Source organism: Homo sapiens, chromosome 12 (assembly GCF_000001405.40).
Source record: "Homo sapiens chromosome 12, GRCh38.p14 Primary Assembly".
In the NCBI taxonomy this organism is placed as follows: Eukaryota; Metazoa; Chordata; class Mammalia; order Primates; family Hominidae; genus Homo; species Homo sapiens.
In genome coordinates, this window is record NC_000012.12 from 13,000,314 (window position 1) to 13,027,808 (window position 27,495).

Here is a 27,495-nt window from a genome sequence, read left to right on the forward strand (position 1 = left end):
TAGAGGGCGGGGCGGCAATTCAGCCCGGCGGTGAGGCAAGGGGGCGGGACGGCGAGGTGAAGGGGCGGAGAGAGAGGGCGGGGCGGCGAGGCGAGGGGGCGGAGAGAGGGCGGGTCAGTGATGCGAAGGGCGGGCAGCAGGGCAGCAGTGCAGCAGTGCAGCAGTGCGGTGAGGCGAGGGTGCGAGGCGGCTAAGCAAGGGATGGGCCCGCCGTGGCGAGCCGCTGGGCCGTGTTCCGCCTCCTTTCGGGCTTTCCGCGGGTGTCTGGGGAGGGAACCCGGCCGCGGGCCTCAGGCCGTCCCCCTCCGCAGACCCCTTCTCTTATTCTGAGTCTAACCTATCCGCTGGGGCCCTGGAAAGCGATTCTCGCCTGGAGTGGCTTTAGGCAGCGGTGGTGGGGAACGTCCTCTCTCAGGTGCCTGGGCTCCAACCTCCGAGCCCCGGGTTGCTCACGCTTCTCCGGTCCTCTACCCGAAGGCTCGATCCCGCTGGTACAGCGGCGGCCAGGCTCCCTGTCTTGGTAGCTGTCCCTCTACCCCCGCCCCATGACCTCTTCTAGACCATTGAAAGAGCATCCAAACCACTTTCCTGCTGCCACTCTTTCCTACCATCCCTCTAAATCACAGTTTCCAGGTGACTTTTCTAAGCATGGCTTTTCTCGTTCACTCCTGTTCAAAAATCTTCTCACCAATTTTGTCACCATTTACTCAGCTGAGTGCCTGCTTTCTGTCAAGTATTTTACCAATAAATCTCTACTCCACACCACCGACAAGAAATATTTTGGAGCCATTTAAAAAGGAGGAAACGGAAGCTTCTGCCGCTGCCTGATCCTCCATTGCTCCGAGCCGCGCGGGTGCAGCGGGCTGTGGAGCCGCGGGCCGAGCCCCGCCGGAGCGCCCGAGAGCCCGCGCGTCCCGGGCGTCCGTCGGGGTCCGAGGTCCCTCCCTCAGGGAGTCCCCGCTCGGCAGCGCTCTCGCGTTTCACGCAGCGGCCGGGGATCTGGGACAGGCGGGGCCCCGAGGCCGAGCCTGGCGCTGCCCAGCGGCCGGTGCAGGCCTCAAGCTGGGCCGGGCGGAGGGGAACCGGCGAGTTGAAGCCCCGGGGCCGAAAGCCGGAGCCTGTGGCGGCCGCGGGGGTGGGGAGGGGGGTGGGGCGGCTTCTTGGGCAGCGCCACACGGCGGCGCAGTGATGGATGTTAACAGCAGCGGCCACCCGGACCTCTACGGGCGCCTCTGCTCTTTCCTCCTGCCGGAGGTGGGGGGCAGGCTGCCCGACCTGAGCCCCGACGGTGGCGCCGAACCGGTCGCGGTCTCCGGGACGCCGCATCTGCTGAGCGGGGGCCCCCGAGGTGACGGCCAGCCCGGCGCCCACCTGGGACGCAACCCCGGGCAATGCCTCCGGCCGCGGGGAGCAAATCAAGAAAGGGCCGAGAAAGTTGTGATCGGCTCTGTCCTGACGCTCATCTCTCTGCGATCGCGGGCAACTGCCTGGTGGTATCTCCGTGTGCTTCGTCAAGAAGCTCCGCCAGCCCTCCAACTACCTGATCGTGTCCATGGCGCTGGCCAACCTCTCGGTGGCCATGGCGGTCATGCCCTTCATCAGTGTCACCGACCTCATCGGGGGCAAGTGGATCTTTGGACACTTTTTCTGTAACGTCTTCTCCATGAATGTCATGTGCTGCACGGCCTGGATCTTGACCTTGTACGTGATCAGCATCGACAGGTACCTTGGGATCATGAAGCCTCTCACGTACCCTATGAGGCAGAAGGGGAAATGCATGACGAAGATGATTCTTTCTGTCTGCCTTCTTTCCGCCTTTGTCACTTTACCTACCATTTTTGGTCGGGCTCAGAATGTAAACGATGATAAGGTGTGCTTGGTCAGTCAAGACTTTGGCTACACGATTTACTCCACCGCAGTGGCATCCTAATCCCCATGTGCGTCATGCTTTTCATGTACTAACAGATTTACAAGGCCGCCAGGAAAAGCGCGGCCTAACACAGGTTACCTGGCTTCCCTCGAGTGGAGCCAGACAGCAGTAGTCACCCTGAATGGCACAGTGAAGTTCCAGGAGGTGGAAGAGTGTGCAAACCTTTCGAGACTCCTCAAGCATGAAAGGAAAAAATATCTCCATCTTTAAGCGGAAACAGAAAGCAGCGACTACCTTGGGGATCATCGTCTGGGCCTCCACCATGTGCTGGCCGCCCTTTTTCCTCCTGACAGCCAGACCCTTCTGTCTATGGCACTGCCTGCAGCTGCATCCCACTGTGGGTGGAGAGGATATTTCCATGGCTGGGCTATGCAAACTCTCTCATTAACCCTTTTATTTATGCCTTCTTCAACTGGGACCTGAGGACCACCTATTGCAGCCGGCTCCAGTGCCAGTACCAGAATATCAACCAGACACTCTCAGCTGCAGGCATGCATGAAGCCCTGAAGCTTGCTGAGAGGCCAGAGAGACCTGAGTTTGTCCTACAAAACTCTGACTACTGTAGAAAAAAAAGTCATGATTCATGACTGAAAGAGGGATAATGGAGATGAAATAAACAAGGCAAAATAGAGGTGGAAACAGAAGAAAGTCATTTGCCAAGACTGCAGAATGGAATGCAGCTTCTGTCCTTTCTTAGGATGGCTAAAACGTGACAAACAGCATGACCTGATGTACAACATATCTTATGAGGGAGATGGTGACCTCTCCTTTTTTCTGTGGATCAGTGTTATTGTGTGTTCTCAGTTTAAGATAGCAGATCATCTCAGCAGTAAGCACACTGACAGAATTGAGTTCCAGAAAGGAAGCAGTTTCAGGTTCTTAGCACATGTCCAAATCCATGCAAGTGGGAGAAAGTTCCAATGCACACTTTCCATGCTTCCGAGTCTAGGTCTCGTGGTGAATATTCAGCAATCATTCATGAGAAAGAATGTATTTTGTTGTATGACAGAAGGGTTTACCAAGCAAACTGTGGTAAGCATAGTATCGAATATGTTGCATGTCCATTTTAGAAAACAGAGCCCAGTCATCAGCTAATACAAATGATTTCCCAGAGCAGTGTTTGTTTCAAGCTTCTGTCAAATAGTTTGGCTTTTCTGCAGGGTCCCTGTAACTTCCCCACAAATGTACTTCTTTGTTAATTCACTTATTGTTATGGTGTGGCTCAGGAACAGGTCTCAGGATGGAGAGCAGCATACAACCTGAACAAAGCTTTTTCTTGTGCTCTGAAGGGTCCTGAGACGTGAGGGGGATGCCTTCCATGAGGATTTTTATCTCAGTGAAGTGCGAGTGGTACCCACCTGTATTGTCATTAACATGATTATTGGCATGTTTTTGACTCTCATTTTTCACAAGGGTGCAGTGGGGCCATGGACCATCCCATGGGATGGTCCATAACTGTATGTTATATGGAAATAGTGTGGGAATAATGGGTTTTCCATGAAAGGTTGTGATGCTTCTGGAGATGGGGGCATAAACGTGTTCATTCTTGTTGAGCAGCATTGTGTTAAACCAAATTGTGTGAAGTGGAGGTCACCTGGACCACTCCTGGGAAATGCTCCAGAACACCAGTCTGTTCCTTCTAGAAATTTGTTCTCTGTATTTATTTTTATTTTTTATTTTGAGGCAGTGTCTCACCCATCCTGTCTCCCAGGCTGGAGTGCAGTGGTGCGATCTCGGCTCACTGCAACCTCTGCCTCCTGGGTTTAAGCAATTCTCCTGCCTCTGCCTCCCAAGTAGCTGAGATTACAGGCACCTGCCACCACACCTGGCTAATTTTCGTATTTTTAGTAGAGAAGGAGTTTCACCATGTTGGCCAGGCTGGTCTCAAACTCCTGATCTCAGTTGATCCACCTGCCTTGGACTCCCAAAGTGCTGAGATTACAGGTGTGAGCCACTGTGCCCAGCCTGTTCTCTGTATCTTAAATCAACTCTGTGCCAAAGCAGTTCTGTCCCCTGACTCCCACCCCTACCCACCAAAAAGTGGTAGACATGAAGGGCAGGTAAGGGAACAGAAAATGTCTCCTTGCAGCTATATATATTTTAAACGAACTGTGTAATAAGTATGAGCTAAGGAGACAGAAAGACAGTAGATGAGAAAAGAAGAGTACCTATACCTACAAGGGGCAAAATGAATGCAATCCTTCATTTGATAAGAGAGAACTGAAAGAGAATATTATTTTTCTACAATAAAGCAAGCTGTCCTCTCAGGATAAAGTGGAATTTCGACATGGATTATGGACTTCTTCCAACTCCCATTGACATTGCTTCTTACCACACATGGGGAAGGGCTGCCTTTCCTGAAAGGGGAAGAAGGCACTGTCCTTTCAGACAAAGTTTGTACAAATTCCTGAACTGCAGATTTGCTAATGTGACCGCGTATACTTATATTCATAATTTAAGTGATTGTTTATGGTCAGATACATATTGTTAAACTTGAAAATGTTTTATTACATTACATCAAATAAAGTCTATTTGTAGCTGAAAAAACTAAAAATAATAAAAAGGAGGAAACTGAGGCTTAAAACAATTAAGTAACTTTCCCAGGCAACAACTAATGTGTGGCTTGGTGAGGATTTGAACTCATGTCTGTGTTGTCAGCGTCCATAATGCTTTGTACTCTGTCACCCTGGCTTTTCCGACCTGTATCTACATCTACATATGGCACTGCTTTCCAAATACTTTCTAAATGTCCAGCTTCCCCCTTGGACTCACTCCTTGAAACTGACTTCTCTGAAAGTGTCCCTCAAACACTGTGTCCATGAACACTGTGTGGTCCTGTCTGAACTCTCTTGTCATCTCATTTGTTCTAATATTCTGCCTACTTGAGGATTCTCTTTTCTTTTTTTTGATACAGGATCTCACTCTGTTGCCCAGGCTGGAGTGCAGTGGCATGAGCTTGGCTCACTGCAGCTTCGAACTCCCTGGCTCAAGTGCTCATCCCACCTTAGCCTCCCAAGTAGCTGGGACTGCAGGTGCACACCTAATTTTTCTATTTTTTGTAGAGACAAGGTTTCTCCATGTTGCCCAGGCTGGTCTCAAACTCCTGGGCTCAAGCAATTCGTCCAACTTGGCCTGTCGAAGTGCTGGGATTACAGGTGTGAGCCACTTTGCCCAGCCTATTTTTCTTTTTTTGAGAGAGGATCTTGCTCTGTCACCCAGGCTGGGGAGCAGTGGTGCGATCATGGCTCACTGCAGCCTAGAACTCCTGGGCTCAAGTGATCCTGCCACCTCAGCCTCCTGACTACCTGGGACTACAGGTGTGCACCACTACTGCCAGTGAATTTTTAATACATTTTTGCAGAGAAGGGAATCTCACTATGTTACCCATGCTGGTCTCAAACTCCTGCCTCAGTTGATCCTCCTCCATCCGCCTCCCAAAGTGGTTAAATTAAGCCAACCTGCCTGGCCTTTATGAGGATTCTTTATGCATGTTTTACCCATTGGTTGCATTGTCATTTGAAATTGTTAACCTAATTGTCAGACTAATTTGTGGCAGCTGCCCTAAACCAGAGCTGAGGGATTGCCTGCTGTGCTTTCCTCCTGAGCAAGGGGAAGTTGAGCCGGAGCCAGGTAGTGGCAATCAATAATAGTGGTACTGTTGACCTCTAGCTTTGTGGTAAAAGATATTAACTTTATTAACTCCAGACAAAAAATATTTGCCCTTTGACAAATATTTGTTCATTGCTATAAAGTAAATTGCCATTTAATTATTTCATAGTTCCTTGACTCTAAGATGCTATTGATTATAAGACAGGCCCTGTTATTTTATGTGCCACCAAGAAAAAAAACAAATGCTACTAAGTAAACTATGACATTCAATTGATTTTAAATGCATCCAGAGACATTAAAATGTGAAATAGCATGCAGCTTGGAGTTCATAAGAGATTCTTAGGTTGCTTTGTAAGGGTCTCTTGAGTATTTTTGCTCACAACCATACCTCCTTTATAACAAACTAATCTTTTAAAAGGCAAGATCTATTTTTCTTTAGCACTTCCCTCACTAGCCACACACAGAGGATGCTCAGTAAGTGTGGAATGATTTAAAACATTCTTGATATTAGAGCTAGTCATCTATTTTAGTTACTAAACTATATACAGTGCAATGGGCTCTATTACTCAGTATGGTCAAGTAGCGGAAGTATTTGGGAATCAGAAAACATCGGGTCAAAAGATGGGGATTCCAATCTGGCTCTGTCCTACCAGTGTAATGAATATTTCTTCTGCAAATTTCCTAACCTCTGCAGAACTCACTTTCTTTCTTTTTTTAAATTTAGAGACAGGGTCTTGCTATGTTGCCCATGTTGGTCTCAAACTCCTTGGCTCAAGTGATCTTCCCACCTCGGCCTCCCACAGTGCTGGGATTACAGGTGTGAGCCACTGCACCTGGCCTCAGAACTCACTTTCTACATCTGCAACACTGGGGTAATAATGCCAGCTCACAGTGCTGTCGGGAGGATTAAAGGAGTCCAGGCAATAAAAAGCACTGTATACACTGTTAAGGGCTAGATTCTCCCCACACCAGTGGTCAAGTTTGTCCTGCTACCAAGGGCTGAACATTGCTGCTTCAAGAGCATTGTGGGGAAGCATCATTTTAAAGTCCAGATTATTTGGTGTCTTGCCTTTTTTTTTTTTTTTTTTTTGAGATGGAATCTTGCTCTGTCTCCCAGGCACGATCTCGGCTTACTGCAAACTCAGCCTCCCAGGTTCAAGTGATTCTCCTGCCTCAGCCTCCCAAGTAGCTGGGATTATAGGCGCATGCCTCCCAAGTAGCTGGGATTACAGGCGCACACCCAGCTAATTTTTGTATTTTTAGTAGAGACAGGGTTTCACCATGTTGGCCAGGCTGGTCTCGAACTCCTGACCTCAGGTGATCTGCCCGCCTCAGCCTCCCAAAGTGCTGGGATAATAGGCATGAGTCACCATGCCCAGCTATTTGGTGTCTTTCTTTATCTGAAGAATTTGGTATGCTGTGAGACATTTTCCTTTGCAATTTATTAGGTATTATGATTGAATACTGTTGAGTGTGTATAAACTGAAAGAAAAATTCTAAGCCCCCCACTCGACTGAATGGACCCCTCGTCTCAGCCAATGGAATTCCAAAGAAACCTGAAAAACTAGTTCAGGCCATGATGGGAAGTGGGGGTCCCATCATGCCTCATTATACCTTCCTCCTTTTGGAATTCAGGCACAACTGACCAGTATTAACATTAAATCTTAAGGCTGAAAACACAGACTCTTTGTAGCAATAAGATACCAAATTGTAACCTTGTATAGCATCATATGACAGATAGCAGCTCTGAAAGAAATAAAAATATTTTAGATGCCGGGCGCAGTGGCTCATGCCTGTAATCACAGCACTTTGGGAGGCCAAGGCAGTCAGATTGCCTGAGGTCGGGAGTTCAAGACCAGCCTGGCCAACATGGCGAAACCCCGTCTGTACTGAAAATACAAAAATTAGTCCAGTGTGGTGGCTCATTCCTGTAATCCCAGCTACTCAGGAGGCTGAGGCATGATAATTGCTTGAACTCAGGAGGCGGAGGTTGCAGTGAGCCCAGATTGCATCACTGCACTTCAGCCTGGGCAACAGAGTAAGACTCTGTCTAAAAAAAAAAAACCCAAAAAACAAAAAACAAAATCAGATATGAATAAGAACATGGGTGGTTAGACATCTCTCCCATCATAGGAGGAGAGAGGGAGGAAAAGGTGGGTGTCTGCCTATGTACTTACGGAGGTTGGAGGTGGCAAGTTATGGGAGCTCCTGTCAGAAGGCTTTCATTTTCTCTGTGAAATAGGTTATGAGAATGATGGAACAGGAAGCAGGAGAGAACAGCTACCACCATTCTTTCCTTATAGGTAAGACATGGGCAAATCAAATAATATTTGGCAATAAGGCATCAACACACAGTTGCATGTAATAAAGTAGGCTGGAATTTATTCTCAAGGTAATGAGGATCTATTCCATTAAGATTTTTACATATGGTGGCTAAATAATTAGTGTTTCTGCCTCAGTTTAGCAGTAGTATTTTCTGGTGCACCTGAGACTCTTCTGAGTCCTGGCCCAAGAGTATAAGGCTCACAGAGAAGGGGTATTTCCTCCACATTGCCCCCTCTCTCCTTTGTGCAGTCTGCACAAAGACTGCCTTTCCAGTCAGCTTTTTTTCTTTTTTTCTTTTTTTTTTTTTTTTTTTTGAGAGAGAATGTGGCTCTGTCGCCCAGGCTGGAGTGCAGTGGCGTGATCTTGGCTCACTGCAACCTCCGCCTCCCAGGTTCAAGCGATTCCCCTGCCTCAGCCCCCCGAGTAGCTGGGATTACAGGCGCGTGCCACCATGCATGGCTAATTTTTTGTATTTTAGTAGAGATGGGGTTTCATCACATTGGCCAGGATGATCTTGATCTCCTGGCCTCATGATCCACCTGCCTCGGCCTCCCAAAGTGCTGGGATTACAGGCGTGAGCCACTGCGCCCGGCCCCCAGTCAGCTTTTTAAATTTTTGCATTCCTATATTTTATTTTTAAGTGACATTCAAAATTGTATATATTTATCATGTACAGCATGATGTTTTGAAGTATATACACATTGTGGATGACTAAATCTAGCTACTTCATGTATTCATTCCCTCATAGTTATCATTTTTGTGGTGAGAAAGCTTAACATCCACTCTTTCAGCAGTTTTCAAGAATATTTTGTTATAACTATAGTGTCCATGTTGTACAATAGATCTCTCGAACTTCTCCTTTCTAAATGAAATTTTGTATCATTTAACAAACATGATCCCAATACCCACCCCTCCCAACTGCCCTAGCCCCTGCTAACCACCGTTCTACTCTCTACTTCTATGAGATCAAGTTAGTGTCCACATGAGTGAGATCATGCAGTATTTATTTTTCTGGGCCTGGCTTATTTCACATGACATAGTATCCTCCATTTTCATCCCTGTTGTTGCACATGAGAGGATTTTCTTACTTTTTTATGGCTTAATAGGATTCCATTGTGTATATATACTACATTTTCTTTATCCATTCATCTGTTGATGAACACTTAGGTTGATTTCATATCTTGCCTACTTGAAGTACTGTTCATTAAGCAAAGCCAATAGCTTTGATTCAAGTCAAGTACTATGAATAGTGCTGCAATGAACATGGATGTGCTGATATCTCTTCAACACTGATTTCATTTTCTTCGAATGTATACCCAGAAGTGGGATTGTTGGATCACATGGTAGTTCTAATTTTAATTCCATGAGGAACCTCCATACTATTTTCCAAATACACAAAGGATGGAAATTAATGCTGTACTAATTTACATTCCCACCAGTGGTGTGCAAGGGTTCCTTTCTCCACATCCTTGCCAACACTGGTTGTCTTTTTTGTCTTTTTGATAATAACCTTTCTATGACGTAGGAGGTGACATCTCACTGTGGTTTTAACTGGCATTGCTCTGATGATTAGTGATGTTGAGCCTTTTTCATAAACCTGTTGGCCATTTGTGTCTTCTTTCGAGAAATGTCTAGTCAGGTCAGGTCCTTTGTCTATTTTTTTTTTTTTTTTGATACCGAGTCTCGCTCTGTTGCCCAGGCTGGAGTGCAGTGGTGTGATCTCAGTTCACTGTAACTTCCGCCTCCCGGGTTCAAGTGATTCTCCTGCCTCAGCCTCCGAGTATCTGGAATTACAGGTGCATACCATCATGCCCGGCTAATTTTTGTATTTTTAGTAGAGACAGGGTTTCACCACGTTGGCCAGGCTGGCCTTGAACTCTTGACCTCAGGTGTTCTGCCCGCCTTGGCCTCCCAAAATGCTGGGATTACAGGCGTGAGCTACTGCGCCTGGCCTGCCTGTAAATTTTTTTAAAATTTTTTATTTATTTTCATTTTTTGAGACAGTCTCGCTGTGTCACCCAGGCTGGAGTGCAGTGGCACAATCTCGGCTCACTGCAACCTCCACCTCCTGGGTTCAAGTGATTTTCCTGCCTCAGCCACTTGAGTAGCTGGGATTACAGGCATGCGCCACCATGCCTGGCTAATTTTTGTATTTTGAGTACAGACAGGTTTCACCATGTTAGCCAGGCTGATCTCGAACTCCGGGCCTCAAGTGATCTGCCCACCTTAGCCTCCCAAAGTGCGGAGATTTTAGGCGTGAGCGACTGCGCTCAGCCATATTTTAAAAATAAGATTATTTGTTGTATTGCTATTGAGTTATTTGAGTTCTTTATACATTTTTTGGTATTAACCCCTTATCAGATGTATAGTTTGCAAGTATTTTCCCCTCTTTTGTAGGCTGTCTCTTCACTCTGTTAATTGTTTGCCCTGCAGAAGCTTTTTAGTTTGATATAATCCCATTTGCCTATTTTGCTTTTGTTGCCTGTGCTTCCACCAGCATTTCTCATCCAGGACAGGGCTCCTCCCAGGGTGTCTGACTGTGGGCATGCTCCCCTCTTCAGGGTGGGCCCACCCTGAAGCACTCCCTGCCCACAGTGGCATGCTTTTTCTTCTGTCTCCCATCAGAACATAGGGTACCAGCAATATTTACTCACTAAGAAATTGTTTCCTTTCATCTTTCTTTCTAAATTATAAAATGAAAAGTCATCTTCTTTAATGTTCAACATTTCTAAATGTCTGATTTGTTTAAATTTATAAATAATTTATAGATTTAAATTTACTGATTTGTGTTAAATTTATTCACCACTGTTTATTTACTACCTACCCAAGTTCCCAGGTAGTCTACGGGGTTCTAAACTGTAGCAGTGAACAAAACAGACGAAAACCCCTGCTTTACTGGAGTTTACATTTCGGCGTGGGAGACAGGCAGTAAATAAACACATTCATAAATATGTAATAGGTCAGGTGGTGTGTGTTGAAGGCCAACGTATGTCAGTGTGGGCCACTTTAGATAGGGTGGTGACATTTCAACAGAGACTCCCCAAAAAGTGAGGGCATCACTGAGAAGATAGCTAGGGGAGAAGTTTTCAAGTCAGTCGGAAAGGCACGTGCAAAGGCCCTGAGGTGGGAGAATACCTGGCATGTTGAAGAAAGCAAGGAGGCCAGTGTGGCTGGAGTTTACTGAGAAGGAAGAAGGTTACAGGCAAGGGCTCCAGAACCAGGCTGCCTCGGTTCAAATCCCTGCTTACAAGTCGGGTGACCTTGGGCGACTTATTTACTCTCTCTTTGCCTCAGGGCTGTCATCTGAAAAATGGAAATAATGATAATGTGTACCTCAGAGGCTTGTTATGAGGATTAATAATTGCAAAGCACTTAGAACAGGGCCTGGCACATAGTAAGTGCTCTGTAAGTGAATCTTAACCTAAAAAAGGAGAAGAATGATGAAAAATCCAAATTGAAGCAACTATTTCAATATCATAAAATTACTAATCTATATTCTTTTAAAATGTCAATGTCTTAAAAGACAAGAAAAGGCTAAAGAATTGATTCAAATTAAACGAGACTAGAGAGACACTACAAGTAAATGTCATCTGTGATTATGGGCTGGACCCTGTGCCAAGAAAAAATACTCTAAAGAACATTAGTAGAATTAAATTGATTAAGTTAGCATACAGACTGTAGATTAGATAAAAGTATTATATCAATATTAAAGTTCCTGACATTGATAACTATATTGTGGTTGTGTAAGAGAATATCCTTGTTCTTAAGAAATACACACAGGGGTATTAAGGGGATAAGCGGACCTACTATCAAATGGTGTAGAGATAAGCTGTGACACACACACACATACACACAGCCTACTTCTTTAACCTAATATATTAAGTATCCTTCTCCTAGTTTCCTATACCGTAGCTGCATTGATCTCCTTGGTATTCCTTAAGAATACAAGTATGTTCTAGATCAGGGTGTAGGTATTCACTGTTTCTTTGCTTAGAATTTCTTCTCCCAGAAATTGACTTGAATGGCTTCTTTTCATCATTCGGGTCTCAAATCCCCTTTTCAGAGAGAGCTTCCTCGACTCCCCAACCTAAAGTGTCTCCTCTCCCTAGAGTGCTTATCATTATCTGAAAATAATTAATTCATTTCTATGCTTCTTTTCCTTTTTGTCTTTTTCTTCCCACTAAACTGTACATGTCATAAGAGGAGAGATCTTCTGGATCACAACTCTATCTTCAGTACCTAGAATAGTGTCAGAAACATAAGCTCTCAATATATATTTGTTGAATGAATGGGATGGGATGGGGTGGGTTGGTGTGGGATAGGAGAAGACTCTAGGAGGAAGGTCGGCAGCATGAACCCAGTTATTAGAGAGACTGTGGGTGCATTAGTGTCTATCATTCCATCCTACTACCAGTACAACTTTTTAAGAAGGGAGATATGCTTAAAAGAGGTTGGGAGGAGAAAGAGAGAGAAAGCACAAAGAGGAAAAAAGTATAAGATATGCTTATTTGAAACTTAGAGGTTGATCATAATCAGCAATTTTAGAGAAAAAGAGGAATCAAAGGAGAGGAACTTTGTTGACATGTCCAAAACAATTGTAATGTCAGCCATTTCTTTCCTTTTTTTTGCCAGAGTTTTGCTCTTTTGCCCAGGCTGGAGTGAAGTAGCTTCCGCCCCCCAGGGTTCAAGTGATTCTCCTGCCTCAGCCTCCTGAGTAGCTGGGATTATAGGTGCTCACGACCACCCCTGGCTAATTTTTGTATTTTTAGTAGAGACAGGGTTTCATCATATTGTCCAGGCTGGTCTCAAACTCCTGACCTCAGGTGATCGACCTGCCTGAGCCTCCCAAAGTGCTGGGATTACAGACGTGAGCTACCACACTCAGCCTAATGTCAGCTATTTCTTTTTGATGACATAATCCACATTAAAATTGTATCTAGAACAGTAAGAGGAACCAGTCTCCAATGACATCTAAATGGGTGTATTGTCCTTTATTTTGGAAAATTCCCCTTCCATCTTATTTAGGACAATGTTGTAAGTTTCCCACTCTTGGGATCAGCACCTGGATGTTGTCTTTGGCTCTCTTCATCCTTACATTTTCTTTTTTCCCTCCTAAATCCTCAATTCTTTGTGATTCTTCTCTTATATTACTCTCACATGTGGACCTATGATGTGGGTCAGTGTTTCTCAGTGTGCTTCTTGCATCTGCTGTATCACTTGGAGAGCCTGTTAATCATGCAGATTCCTTGGCCCCAAATCAGAATCTCTGGGACGGGTAAGCAGGGAAACTGGTAACTTTTAAAATTTTTCATTTTTTTAAGTAAAATATAGATTTCAAAAATTCAAAATATACTAAAGGATATGAAATAAAGAATTTTTCTCCTAGACTCTGTTTCTCAGCTACCCTTTCCCCTTTCTTAGAAGTATGCATTGTTGCATTTTTTTTTTTTTTTTTTTTTGAGACAGGGTCACACTCCTCCACTCAGGCCTGGAGTGCAGTGGCACGATCTCGGCTCACTGCAACCTCCGCCTCCCGGGTTCAAGTGATTTTTGAGCCTTAGCCTCCCAAGTAGCTGGGATTACAGGTGCATGCCACCATACCCAGCTAATTTTTGTATTTTTAGTAGAGACGGGTTTCACCATGTTGGCCAGGCTGGTCTCAAACTCTTGATCTTAAGAAACCACCTGCCTCAGCCTCCCAAAGTGCTGGGATTACAGGTGGAGTCACCACGCCCAGCCTAAAAGTATGCATTGTTATATTACTTTCATATATATTTTTCCAGAGTTTTTTTGTGCATAGACATACAAATACATGCATATATTTTTTTTCTCTACTTTCTCATTACACAAATGATAATGTACTATACTTATGGTTTCTGTAAATTGTTCTTTTGTTGTCATGTGCCAATGTATTTTGGAAATCATGCCATAGTGATATATGAGTAATGATTCACGTTTTTCCCAGTGGTATGGATTTTCATGTATGGATGTGCCGTAAATACTTAACAAGGAGCCTATCAATGGAGGTTCACATTGTTTTCAATCCTTTGATAATAGGAACAATATTGCAGTGAATAACCTCCGAAATATATCATATCCCACATGTATAAATATACCTGAAGAAAATTTTCCTGAGCCAAAGGATATGTACATTTAAAATTTTGATAGATATTGCTAAATTATTTTCAGTATAGGTTGGCAAACTCACCAGTGAAAACATCTGGGCCTTCAGATTTCTTTCTTGGAAGGCTATTAATTATTGATTCAACTTATTTAATAGAGCTAAAGCTATTCAGATTATTTATCCTTGTGTGAATTTTGGTAGTTTGTGTCTCTCAAGGAATTGGTCCATTTCATCTAAATTGTCAAATTTATTGGCATAGAGTTGTTTATAGTATTCTTCTTTTCTCCTTTTAATATCTGTGTGATCAGTAGTGATAACCCTTCTTTTATTTCTGACATTGGTAATTTGTGTCTCCTCTTTTTTTCTTGGGTAGTTTGGGTAAAGGTTTATCAATTTTATTGTTCTTTCCAAAGAACCAGTCTTTGGTTTTGTTGATTCCCTCTATTGTTTTTCTGTGCTCAACTTCATTGATTTCTGTTGTAATTTTTATTTCTTCTGTTCCTCCATTGTCTTTCTTGCTCTAGTTTCTTAGGTGGAAGCTTATTGGTTTTACATCTTTCTGTTTTTCTAACACATGCACTAAATTTCCCTTTAATCACTATTTTTGCTGCACCTCACAAATTTTGATAAGTTGTATTTCCATTTTCATTTAGTTCAAGATATTATAAACTTCCCATAAAAGATAAGTTGTTGAGCCTGCATAACTTAAAAACTGACATATTTGCTGACTACCCGTGCTTAGAGAAAAATGCAGAGAGCAATGTGAGGCCGAAGTTGTGGAAACAACGGAGGTTGTGAACCAAGAAAATGGAACAGGTTTTAGGTTAGCAGGGAAAGGTGAGAGAGAATTCCAGGGAAGAGTTCAGATAGTAATGCCTATTGGGAGAATCTCTATTTGGAAAGCATTTTATTTTAAATATATAAAATGCACAACAAAATTACCAATTTAACATGCAATTATGGGTATTCGTAATAATATTTTCTTTCTTCTTTTGAGACGGAGTCTCACTCTGTCTCACCCAGGCTGGAGTGCAGTGGCGCGATCTCGGCTCACTGCAGCCTTCGCCTCCTGGGTTCAAGCGATTCTCCTGTCTCAGCCTCCTGAGTAGCTGGGACTACAGGCACGTGCCACCACACCTGGCTAATTTTTTGTATTTTTAGTAGAGACGGGGTTTCACCATGTTGGCCAGGCTAGCCTCGAACTCCTGACCTCGGGTGATCCACCCGCCTCAGCCTTCCAAAGTGCTGGGATAACAGGCATGAGCCACCAAACCCAGCTCATAATATTTTCTGATTAATGGCTATAAGAAAGTGCTTTAAAATAATCAAAATATACCTTTTAAAATAAACAAATGAAAAAACAAAAATATCTTTGAGTTTCTCTTGAGCCTTATTCTTTGAGCCATGTGTTAGTTAGAAGTGTGTTGTTTAATTTCCAAATATTAGGGGGATTTCCTAGCTATCTTTCTGTTACTGATTTCTATTTTAATCCCATTGTGGTCTGATAAATTCCTTTGTATGATTTCTATTCTTCTAAATTTGCTAAGGTGTATCTTATGGCCCAGAATGTGGTTTATCTTGATGAATGTCCTGTGTGGGCTTAAGAATAACGTGTATTCTGCTGTTGTCGAATGGAATAATCTATAATGTTAATTAGATGAAGTGATTGATAGTGCTGCTCAGGTCAACTATATCCTTACTGATTTTCTGCCTGCTTGATTTATCAATTACTAACAAAAAGTTGTTGAAGTTTCTAACTATAAATAGTGGATTTGTCTGTTTCTCCATTCAGCTTGGACTTGGGCACATTTGGGATTGTTATGTCTTCTTGGAGAATTGACCCCTTTGTCATTACAGAGTGCCTCTCAATCCCAGAAGATTTTCCTCATTCTGAAGTCTGTTTGTCTGAAATTAATATGGCTCCCCCAGTATTCTTTTGATTAGTGTTAGAACGGTTTATCCATCTCTATTTTTATCTCTCTTTCTTTCTTTTTCCATTCCTTTATTTTTAATCTATCTGTCTTTATAATAAGAATGGTTTTCTTGTAGATAATGTATAGTCTTGCTTTCCTTATTCATTCTGACAGTGTCTTTTTTTTTTTTTTTTTTTGAGACAGGGTCTTGCTCTGTCACCCAGACTGGAGTGCTGGAGCGCAGTGGCATGATCACTGCTTACTGCAGCCTTAACCTCCTGGGCTAAAGTGATCCTCTCACCTCAGCCTCCTGAGTAAGCTGAGACTACAGACACATGCCACCATGCCTGGCTAATTTTGTTTATTTTTTGTAGAGATGGGGTTTTGCCATGTTGCCCAGGTGGTCTTGAACTCCTGGGCTCAGGCAGTCTGCCTACTTTGCCCTCCCAAAGTGCTGGAATTACAGGCGTTAGCCGCTGTGCTCAGCCTCTGTCTTTTAATCGGTATAGTTACTGATATAGTTGGATGAATATCAACTGTTTGCAGCTATTTTCTATTTATTGCCAGAGGCTTCTCTTTCTGCCTTCTCTGGTTTCAACTGAGCATTTTGTATGATTTTATTTTATCTGCTTTCTTAGTTTATCAATTATATTTCTTAAAATTTTTTTAAGTATTTTCCTTAGTTTCAGTATGAATTTTTGACTAATCTATCTTCAAATAACACTATACCATTTCACATGTAGTGCAGATACTCTCTTTAGGTTGTAATCTTAAGCAACTCTGGAGGGTTTTAGAGATAAATGTGTGGAGGATGGAATAATCTACCTTATCTTTCATGGGTGGAAAAAGAGGTTAAGGAGTCCCAGACTGCCTGCTTCTCCCTGTATCACCTAAACGTTTGTTTTTTATCACTTTTTGATGCTATGTGATTTGGTGCACAGATACATGTAACTCATATCTTTATTATGCATTACATCCTTTATCATTATAAAGTGCTTTAAAAATCTTGTTAATGTTTTTTGCTCTTAACTCTGATATTAAGATCATATCCCCAGCTTTTATACAGTTAGACTTTTCAGACACACTCTTGCTATCCTTTTATTTTTAATTTTTTTGAATTTTGAGCACACATATTTGACTATGGACAAAGAATTCCACCTCTGCCTATATGCTGTATAAAGCACTGTACATCTGAAATCACACTTTTCTTGTGCAGAGATGCATTCATATGCATATGATCTTTACCAGAGAAGTTTCCAAATTTATTTGTGATGGATGAGAATGTGTATTCAAAGGTAATATAGTACTGGAGTTATCTTCAGGGGTATTATACTCCTCTTGACTCAGCCCCTACCTCGCCACTAAAGATTCATTTTTAAATGAACAAAGCAATAGACAATAGAACATCTCTTTTAGGTGTGCCCAAAACAGAGCTTTGCTTTGCAATCCAATTTGAAGATTTTTTAAACAGTGTATTTAGCTATTTCACATTAATTCCAAGACAAATGTTTGGTTTTTGTCATAAAATTTCAAGTTATATTTTCTATTTTTGCAATTTATAACCTCTTTGTTTTTTGTTTCCTGTGCCAACACTAAAGCATTTGTATTTTTGTGCAAATGGTTTCCTTTATAATTATGTTATTTATAACACCGTATTCACCTGCATTTCTTGAGATAAGGCCAATTAATTTCCTACAATGAGCAGCAATAAAATTAGCATCTTTGTTCTTCCACCTCCCTCCTGGTGTTAGTTTGTAAGGGGTGCTGTAACAAAGTACCAAGATGTGGGTGGTTTAAGCAACAGAAATTATTATCTCACAGTTCTGGAGGCTAGAAGTTCAAGATCAAAGTGTCAGCAGGGTTAGTTTCTCCTGAGGGCTGGGAGGGAAGGACCTGTTCCATGTCACTCTCCTAGCTTCTGGTGGTCTCAGGTATTCCTTGGCTTGCAGATGGCATTCTCTCTGTGTCTTCACATTGTCTTCACTCTGTATGCGGCTGTCTCTGAGTCCAAATTTCCACTTTTTTTTTTAATAAGGGGGCAGTCACACTGGATTAGGGCCCACCCTAATAACCTCATCTTCGCTTAATCATCTGGAAAGACCCTATTTCTAAATAAGGCTACATTCATAGGCTCTGGGGGTTAGGATTTCAACATCTTTTTTGGAGGAGCACAATTCAAACTATAATACTCTTCTACTGCTAGATTTTAGCCACTTTACTCACTTCCTAGTGTTTACCTTTGAACTAGTAAATGTACTACGGTTTTATTATTAATTTATCATTTTTAAGTTATATTTTTTACTTCTGACTCTAAATGATGAAGAAATCAAATTACTTACTACTTTCTCCCTTCCCTCTTGGTTGCCACTCAATTTTTGCTGATTATACACTGTAGAGCTTCATAACATTCACATTTTACTCTATTATTTCCATGTTTGTTCAGCTCTGCTTGCTTTTCTCATTCCTGCCTTCTTTTTCAGTTTCCGTAGTCTATTCTTTCCCTCATTTTTTTCATTTCTCTGATATTTTTATTTCTGCTTCTAACTGAGCTCTGTTGAGTTTTTGTATTTCTGCTTTTTAGTTTTGTTCTACAGTGATAATTGTTTCATTAAATTTTTATAATTCATGACAAAATATTTGGCCTAAATTTTCACCTGCTCTATAGGGATATTTTTTCTGGTGTTTTTTGGCCCATTCTTTTTCTGTTCCTTTTCTTGATTTTTTTTCCTCTTATATTTCTAGACAGCTCCTGTGTTGGTTCTATTTTGAAAACTTGTTTTTTTTTTGTTTTGTTTTTTTGAGACTGAATCTTGCTCTGTCACCCAGGCTGGAGTGCAGTTTTGTGATCTCGGCTCACTGCAACCTCCGCCTCCTGGGTTCAAGGGATTCTCCTTCCTCAGCCTCCCAAGTAGCTGGAATTACAGGCATGCACCATCACGCCTGGCTAATTGTTGTGTTTTTAGTAGAGATGGGGTTTTACCATGTTGGCCAAGCTGGTCTCGAACTCCTGACCTTAAGTGATCCACCCACCTCTGCCTCCCAAAGTGCTGGGATTACAGGCATGAGCCACTGTGCCCAGCCCTTGAATACTTAGTTTAAAATGAATACAGTGTTTACTGTATCAGCGATTCATGGTAAGTCAATGTGGAAAAGGGGCAAGAATGTGTTTCAAGCTATGGAAATTTTAAGAAACAATTCTCAGGTTTATATGGGAGTTTATTTAGCCTTTCCCACACCCAACCAGATAAAATCTGTTCCCAATGTAAATTGTCTCTTTTCTTAATACTCCATGGACAGATGATGAGAAGGAGGAGAAGAGGAAGAGAATGTGGAGGAAGTGAATATGGCTGCATCAAGGGATTCTTCTTTTAAACCTACATAATTTTTAAAAATCGACCTGTGCATCCCAGCTCCCATTGGTGCAAACAAGTGATTTTGATTTTGTACTTCAGTGCATGCCCTTAACCTTGGTGAAATGTCTTTGCCACTTCTTTCTGAGATGTACAATCCTGAGTGATTGCTCCCTCTCTGAATTTTTTTGAATCCCTGCTTAATCTTCTCTACCTTTGGCATTCTTTTGCATACTTTGAGGTTCAAGGTTTTAACTGTTAAGTATTATGTTTGTATTTGCGTTTCTCCTTCTCCTTGCTATTTTTGGATAATTTTCTAAGAGGCAATAGAGAAATTCTGCTTTTATACCACCGTATTTAATTGAAAAGATGGAATCTGCATTTTGAAGGTTTCAGTGTGATAGATGACCTCAAGTTCTTTGATGTTCTTTCCATTGAGAGGTGGGGTCTACCTCCACTTCCCCTTGAATCTGGACTTGCTTCAGCCACTCACTTATATAACTAATAGAAGGTGGCAGAAATGACGGAGCATGACTTTTGAGTTAAGTCAGAGAGGCCGTGCAGCTACTGCATTGTTTGCCGGTACACTTGCCCTTGGAGCCCTGGGCCATCATGTAAGAAGGCTGCCATGCTGTGAGAACACCTAAGCCACATGGAGAGGCCACATGAAAAAGCTTGGTTGATAATCCCAGTTAAGCCCAACATTCGAATCATCCTAGCCCAGGTACCAGACATGTCAGTGAAGAAGACTTCATCCGCAGACATTTGAGACATCCCCAACTGCTTAAACCTTTCCAGTGGCATCGCCCAGACATTGTGAAGCAGAGACTTGCTATCCTCACTGCGCTTTGTCGGAATTCTTGACCCATAGAATCCTTAGGTATAATAAAATGGCTGTTTTATGGCATTCGTGTGAAGGAGGATTATTATACAGCAACAGACAATCAGAATGTCTGGTGAATCTTTTGCACAATAAAATTTGAAAACTACTGTCTGAGATAATTTTCACTGTACTCAAGAAAGTTGACGTCATGGTTGTATGCTGTTTTAACCCAGCTAAAGTCAAACAATTCTCAGAATTTCCTTCCTTGTGTGGTTCCAGGTTGGAGCTGGCCACAAAAGAAATTTGTTCAAGATTTTAAGTGTGGAAATGAAGAAGCAGTCACCTTTAATGCTCTAAAGGACAGTGTAGGGCATCAATTGCCATTGCAACCCAGACACATTATCACTGATCTGCTGATTTACCTTGTTGGCGTGGATCCTCAGCTCCTTCAGCTCATTTTTTTTTTTAAGTATAATTCCCATTTTATTATTCTCCAGAGAATAGTCTGTCTTCAGTCTTTAAGAACGCAGCTCCTAGGCCGAGCGGGGTGGCTCATGCCTGTAATCCCAGCACTTTGGGAGGCCGAGGCGGGCAGATCACGAGGTCAGGAGATCGAGACCATCCTGGCTAACACGGTGAAACCCTGTCTCTACTAAAAATACAAAAAATTAGCCAGGCGTGGTGGCGGGCGCCTGTAGTCCCAGCTACTCGGGAGGCTGAGGCAGGAGAATGGCGTCAACCCGGGAGGCGGAGCTTGCAGTGTGCCGAGATCGCGCCGCTGCACCCCAGCCTGGGTGACAGAGCAAGTCTCTGTCTCAAAAACAACAACAACAACAACAACAACAACAACAACAACAACAAAAAACAGCTCCTTACATGGGCTTGGTGGGGGTCGTGGGGCAGCATCCGCAGGTCTAAATCTGGGTGGGGGTGTTTGGTCACTATGGGCTTCACGAGGTCAATTCCTGACTACTTTGCTGTGAATCGCACAACCCACACAGTGATGCAGCTTCACATACAGCTTGGGAAGCACATAGGCATCGAAGATGCTTATTTCAGAAATGTCCCTGACTGTTGCAGCCTCCACTATGTTTCAAATGACGAATTTCTTAATGGCCTTGTCCTTGGGCACGCATTGGGCACAGTTCGTGCAGCAAATAAGCTGCATGTGGCCATGGCCCATTTTGGCACGACCATTGTTCCTTCTTTTCTTTGTCGTCTTGGAGGTACAGACTGGAGACTCCTTCAGCTCTTTGAGTTCTGGGTCAGGTGAAAGTGCTGCTCCGTGGTGAAATATGCCAAAGAGTAGGATAGTTAACAGAGCCCTGGGGCAAAACAGTAAAGGAGTTGCTGCTCATCTCACATTAAAAGCAAAAACCTGAAAAACATTTGGCCCTCTTTCTTGCTGAGGATTGAAAAGAACGCCCTTGCCAACTCAATAATGTAGACCAAGCAATACAGAGCTGTGTTGTCTATTTCAGTAACATGTGCCATATTGCAATGTATCTGGTTTGCAATGGCAATGGTATAGCAGCTGGGTATGGGACTACAATAACGGTTCAATTTTTGTAAGTTCATAGTAGTAGTCCAGCAGCCAGTTAATTTTTTTCTTTTTCTTTCTTTCAGGGCCAGAAAAGCAAATTAAACTGGAATGTTATGGAGACCACTATCCCTGCCTCCTTTCCTTTTTTAAAGGTGGCACTAATTTCTGTAATTCTTTCCAAGATGTGGCTTTCCTTCTGATATACCATCATGGCTGGAAGAGAAGATATGGGTGAGCTTAGAGGCTTCCACTTGGCCATTTTTACCATAATAGCTCTATTCAACAGGTCAAGAGAGAAATCTGAGGACTTTTCCAGTTTTTAATTATAACCATCCCAATTATGCACTCAGGGGCCTAACCATCACTGGTAGGTTTATGTAGCCCATGTGAAGTAGACTTGGACTGGGACTCCATATATCTCCTGGCTTTCATAAGCTTCTGCTCTAACTTGGGGACTATGCTGGCATTTCAGGCCCCCTGGCAGAATTATCAGCTAAGACTGTGTGTCTAATAGCCCTCAAAAATCTGGGTATTTCCGTTTTCCCTAGTGTATCTGGGAAAAGGCTGCAGGTCCCTTTGGGGAGGGAATGCAACCATGCTTATTGTATGTATTTGCAGTGGCATTGCAGGATTCCTTATCAAGGAGGTTAGACTTCCTTTTCAATCAGTAGGCTTTGGTTCTGAGAACTGGCCTAAGATCTGAAACAAAGGATTGTAATTACCCATTTGGTGACTGACATCAGCCTTTTGCTCACTAGCTTTCAATTTTTGTGTGGTCATATAAACCAAGCAGTAGTCTAATTGGTTGCCCTTCTGTATTGCTCTTATTAGCCATTGCCACAGATCCTAGTAGGTCAAGAAACCTTGACTGTCACTCTAGCTTTGGTCTGTATTACAGTAATTATGTTCCTCTTGACTCTTAAGATTAGACGCCACCATCTGGTCTCTGCTATTCTTGAATCTTATCATCCCCGTTGATAATAGCACAATTCCATTGCAAAATCTCTTTCTCTCAAATGTGATATACAGATGTACTGAGGGACACTTATGGCTGACCTCAAAAGATGCTGGCGCCTCACCACCACTGTTATTATGTACCGGTTATTACTTGGGCCTTCCTGGGGGACCTAGTCAGGTGGTAGGTTCTCTGATTCACATCACAAAGGATTTTAATATTTATACTTTTCTGGACTTGTTGACACCTTTCTCAATACTCTGTTGAGGCAATTCCAGCATCTCTATCTCACGGGAGACTGACACTGTATCCAAGCCTCGAGGAGTCATCCCAACAGCATTTTAGGACTGACTCCAAGTGTTCTTATCAGGACATTAAGTTCCAAGTGAATTAACATATGTTTTATCTCATATACTTATTTTTTGTGGCAAGAACACATAAAATCTACTCTTAGCAATTTTCAAGTACACCACATGTTGTTATAACCATACTCATGTTCCACAATCACCATCTAACATCATTATATTCTGTGATAGATCTCTTAAACTTATTCCTCTTATGAAATGGAAATTTTATATCTTTTGACTGACATCCTCCTTAATGATCCACCTACCCCTCACCATTCTACTCTCTGCCTCAATGAGTTTGATTTTTTTAGATTTCACATATAAGTGAGTTCATGTGGTATTTGTCTTTCTGGGTCTGGCTTATTTCATTTAACAAAATGTCATCCAGGTTCATCCATGTTATTGCAAATGACAGGATTCCCTTGTTCTGTTTTCAAGGCTGACTAGTATTCCATTATGTAGAGCTACTTCTAGTACCAACTGTTTAGCTTAGGTTTCTTCAAAGCGCTGAGCCTGAGACAAGGCTTGTGTGATGGTCATTATTTTGGAAAATGATTCTCCAAAGAAGAATGAGGGAAGAATGAAGCAGGAAAGGAGGGAAAGATAACTTAAGAGCACCTTACTGAGTGGATGGCACTGTGGAGAACTGGAGATTAATCCTTGTTAGGGACCGTCTGGGAAGTCATGTGCAGCGCACTTAAGAATCATCTACTTGAAGGGGAAGAAGGGAATATTTACCGCTGACTCCTACATGTTGCTGGCCGAGGATTGTCCCATGGGATATAACTCTCACATTTCCATTTTTGGAAAAAGCATTTGGTTCTTTTTTATCCTTTAGAGATGATCAATGAGACTTTTTTTAAAGTATCATTATGAACTTATGGATTTTAACATATTTAAGTCTGTCTGTTGTACTCATTATTCTTATTGATAATGTCCCATTTTGGCTATTGTGAGTGCCTTCAAATTGGTTCCTGTGACCTTTTAACATGAATCCAGCAGACTTTAGTAGCTTTCTTGTTTTCTAGTATGACAAAGTCTTCTAGGCTCATTCCTGCTCCAGACATGAAATCATCCATTTTCCCAAGGAGCCCTTCAGAGATCACGATCTGGCACTAGAGGTCCTCGTTGCTGTTGGGTTGGTCAATGTATGAAGTCCTGTTCCCTGGACAGAGCTAGAAATATGTTTTTGTTTAATGAAAAAGAGAAATACCTCATGAATTAGTACTCATATTTCTAATTCAAATAAAATATTACAGTTTTTCTTTACCTACCTTCTTTGATTTTATATTTGCACTTCTTTACTCTTACTAATTAACATAATTACTTATTTGCTTGTTAAAAGAAAAATTTTAGACATATTAAACAGTTCAATTGAGCAAAGAGCGATTCACAAATCAGGCAGCGTTCCCATCTCCTGGATCCAGAATAGATTTGGAGCAACTGTGGAGCTGTCACGTGGTTGGATAATATTTATGGACAGAAAAAGGAAAGTGGTGGACAGAAAACAGAAGTGAGGTACGGAAACAGCTGGATTGGTTACAGCTCAGTGTTTGAACATGGTTTCAACAGTTGGCGACCTGTGATAGGTTACAGTCTGTTTACATATCCAGTTAGGTTACAGTTCACTATATAAGGAGAAACCTTTAGGTCAAACTTAAAATACATAAGGAGGCAGCTTTAACTTAATTTAACACAGTTTAACCTGTTCTATTTGTATATATAATTGTTTCAAACATCATTACAAAATTACTTATTTGCTATACCCTATCATCTACGTGTGTATAATAGTTTCATACTCACTATATCAATATTGTTATTAACAATATGATCCCTGAATACAATTTAAGATTTCTTTGCAATTCTACTTTTCCCTTAGAATATATCCCGCTAGGAGGGTACAGTCAAATTAATATGTTTTGAAGTTATTGAATTAATTGGATGTCACGTTCTCTATATGTTAATAGTTAAACCATCAACTTAGTATTAATTTTGTTTCCAATTTTTAGGAACGGATATTTTCCCACCTTGATTTAATTTTATTTTTTAATTATGTAAACCATTTATGTGGTTTGTAAGTCAAAAGCTCTAAAACAAAGTATATTCAGAGAAGTTTAACTAACTTCTAACCCTATTCCAACTTGTTTTTTCCTTCCATTTTTCATTAGAGTTTAATTTATTCTTCCAGTTTTTTGTTTGTTTGTTTTTGTAGAGACAGGGTCTTGCTCTGTCACCCAGGATAGAGTGTAATGGCACAATCACAGCTCCCTGTAACCTTGAACCCCTGGGCTCAAGCAATCCTCCCACCTCGGCCTCCCAAAATGTTGGGATTACAGGCATGAGTCACTGTACCTAGCCCGTTATTCTTCCATTAAAAAAAACTATATATATGTATAGATAGATATATTCGCATTCCTTCCTTTCTTAGGTAAAAGGTAGAATACTATACACCTTAATCTGCTCCTTGCTTTTTTTCACTTAATCATGCTTCATGGAATTCACTTTGTAATGATGCTTAGAGATTGTATTCCTTTCTAGAGCTTCACAATTCTTTTTGTGAATTTATTGAGATATAAATTGAAGACGGTGCAAGCAGATTTGGAAAGTAATGGAGTCCTTAACTAGAAGGATAGATTTATCACTCATTGCAATGTGGAAGACTGCAAAAGGAACAAATTTTGGGGGAAATATCAGAAATTTAGTGGACATATTTTGCTTGAGATGTCTATTAGACATGCAAGAAGAACTACAAATAGGCAGTTTTGGATACCCTAGTCTAGAATTCAAGGGTGAGATCCAGGCTAGACATATAATTTGGAAGTTAATACCCGGGGAGTTTGGTGAAGGAATGGAAGAGTAAACGCTCTAGGCTGGTCATTTCTCCCCTGATTTTATTAACTCCTAAATGTAGGAGATTTGGGTTGCCTGTTTTGAGCCCCTGGACTCCTGTTTCACTGATTTCCATGGTGAACAGGTAGGCAATCATTGTCTCCAAGCAGAGTAGGAAAGGGGCAGAGGAAAATGCAATCTTGTTCTCGCTAACTTTGTCCCCTGCCAGTATTCTCTTCTGGGCTACAGTCAACCCTTCTTCCCCCCAACCTTCAGGTGCAGAGCTTCCCTCTCCCAGGGTTTCTTACTGTTGATGTAATTAGTTCCTGGAATCTATGTTTCCTTCTGAGCTTCTCCTTGTTTGATTCTGGGGAAGAAAGCCAGTAACCGATGCCAGTTTTCCATCTTTGCAGGAACTCAAAGTTCTATTAGATTTTCAAAATTAAACAAGGGGAAAGAATATTTTTTTAAGAGAAAAAAGATGGGGAAACTGATTTATCATCTCTTTCAAATGTCCTGTGAAACTATTCCAAGGAGGTTGATTCTGATTAGACTCAGACTGGGGAAAATAGGGATTCAGCAAAGCTGGGAACTGCATACTGGGGAAGAAAATAAAGAACTGACTACTTGCCAGGAAACAAAAAGTATTCCATGTGAAGACATGCTTTAACTCTAAAACCTTTCTGAAATTCTGCCTTGGGTAAACATGTATAGTATTTCCTCAAGAGCTACATTTCCCCAGCCTACGGTAAACAAGGGGAAAGATACCAAGTTCATCACAGATTATTTCTCTTCAATCTTGTATGATTCACTACAGTTATGCAGAGAAAATGTTTTAATATTATAAAGTCAAGCATAAACACCTACAAAGTTAAATACGATGAACATTAAAATAAACAGGAGAGGTAGTTTATAAAATTAAACTAGATGACATAATTGGAAGTTAATACAACTTAAATAGATCTTAGAAAAGTTTTCTGATGAAAATTAATATCTACATTTTTATATAGTTTCTCTTGATTGACTATGTCCTTAGTATACTCTGTATTTTGTTTTCTATTTTTGTACTGGTGGCTTTTAAACAATTTTTTACAGGAAGTATGTTTATTATCTACCAATACAGATGAAAAAGGAGTCAAAAGTGAAAGTTCCCCTGTGATAGCAGAACCTTCCCTTCATGGGTGCAAGGCAGCATACCTCCCAGAGATAACGGCTCTTGACAGTTTAGTATTTATCTTTCCAGACTTTAAAAACACAAATTAACATTTTTACATATACACACATATATTGAATGCATACATATTTCAGATATACGTAGAGAGATAATTACATCTCTATATATCTGAAACTTATGATTGGTATGTTTATATATTATTAGTACATTTAGATCTATGTCATTATTTGAAATAGCTGAAATTCATTTTGCACATATATTAATAAATTATATTTTATTTCATTGAAAAATACACACAAAAAGAGAAAATTAAAAGAAACCTGCCTGTGGTCCCAGCTACCCTGGAGGTAGAGGTGGGAGGCTTGGGCCTGGGAGGTGGAGGTTGCAGTGAGCCAAGATTGTACCACTGCACTCCAGCTTGGGTCACAGGGCAAGACCCTGTCTCAAAAATAAAATAAAATAAAATAATAAAATAAAAATAAAATAGAATAAAATGAACCATATATTTTTATCCCTTTTTAAATTAAAACATTATAAAAATAATCTGAAAAAGTAGTATCTGGTCATTGGTCC

The 27,495-nt window shown here is 41.7% G+C and overlaps 1 long non-coding RNA gene and 2 pseudogenes across 2 annotated transcripts in view, besides 3 other annotated features; 2 read left to right on the top strand and 1 right to left on the bottom strand.

The window, feature by feature from the left end:
- The window catches only part of GPRC5D-AS1 (GPRC5D and HEBP1 antisense RNA 1), a 94,773-nt gene extending 72,588 nt beyond the window's left edge, over positions 1-22,185 (top strand). The window contains exon 3 of the long non-coding RNA NR_149067.1: positions 21,701-22,185. This is a non-coding gene — a long non-coding RNA (GPRC5D and HEBP1 antisense RNA 1). The remainder of the gene's footprint in view (positions 1-21,700) is intronic.
- Positions 17-136: a silencer, noted in NCBI's record as "silent region_4270". NCBI's record gives its function as "represses an Ori minimal core promoter by ATAC-STARR-seq in GM12878 lymphoblastoid cells {active_cell/tissue: GM12878}" and the evidence as "EXISTENCE:reporter gene assay evidence [ECO:0000049][PMID:35858748]".
- HTR7P1 (5-hydroxytryptamine receptor 7 pseudogene 1) lies at positions 129-4,517 on the top strand (annotated as a pseudogene). Its single transcript, NR_002774.3, has one exon. The product of NR_002774.3 is annotated as a 5-hydroxytryptamine receptor 7 pseudogene 1 (transcript).
- Positions 897-1,046: a silencer, noted in NCBI's record as "silent region_4271". NCBI's record gives its function as "represses an Ori minimal core promoter by ATAC-STARR-seq in GM12878 lymphoblastoid cells {active_cell/tissue: GM12878}" and the evidence as "EXISTENCE:reporter gene assay evidence [ECO:0000049][PMID:35858748]".
- Positions 1,471-2,016: an enhancer, noted in NCBI's record as "H3K27ac-H3K4me1 hESC enhancer chr12:13154718-13155263 (GRCh37/hg19 assembly coordinates)". NCBI's record gives its function as "activates a minimal SCP1, AML or CMV promoter by ChIP-STARR-seq in primed H9 embryonic stem cells {active_cell/tissue: H9 hESC(primed)}" and the evidence as "EXISTENCE:reporter gene assay evidence [ECO:0000049][PMID:30033119]".
- Positions 20,936-21,314, bottom strand: RPS26P46 (ribosomal protein S26 pseudogene 46; annotated as a pseudogene).
- Positions 22,186-27,495: the final 5,310 nt, after the last annotated feature.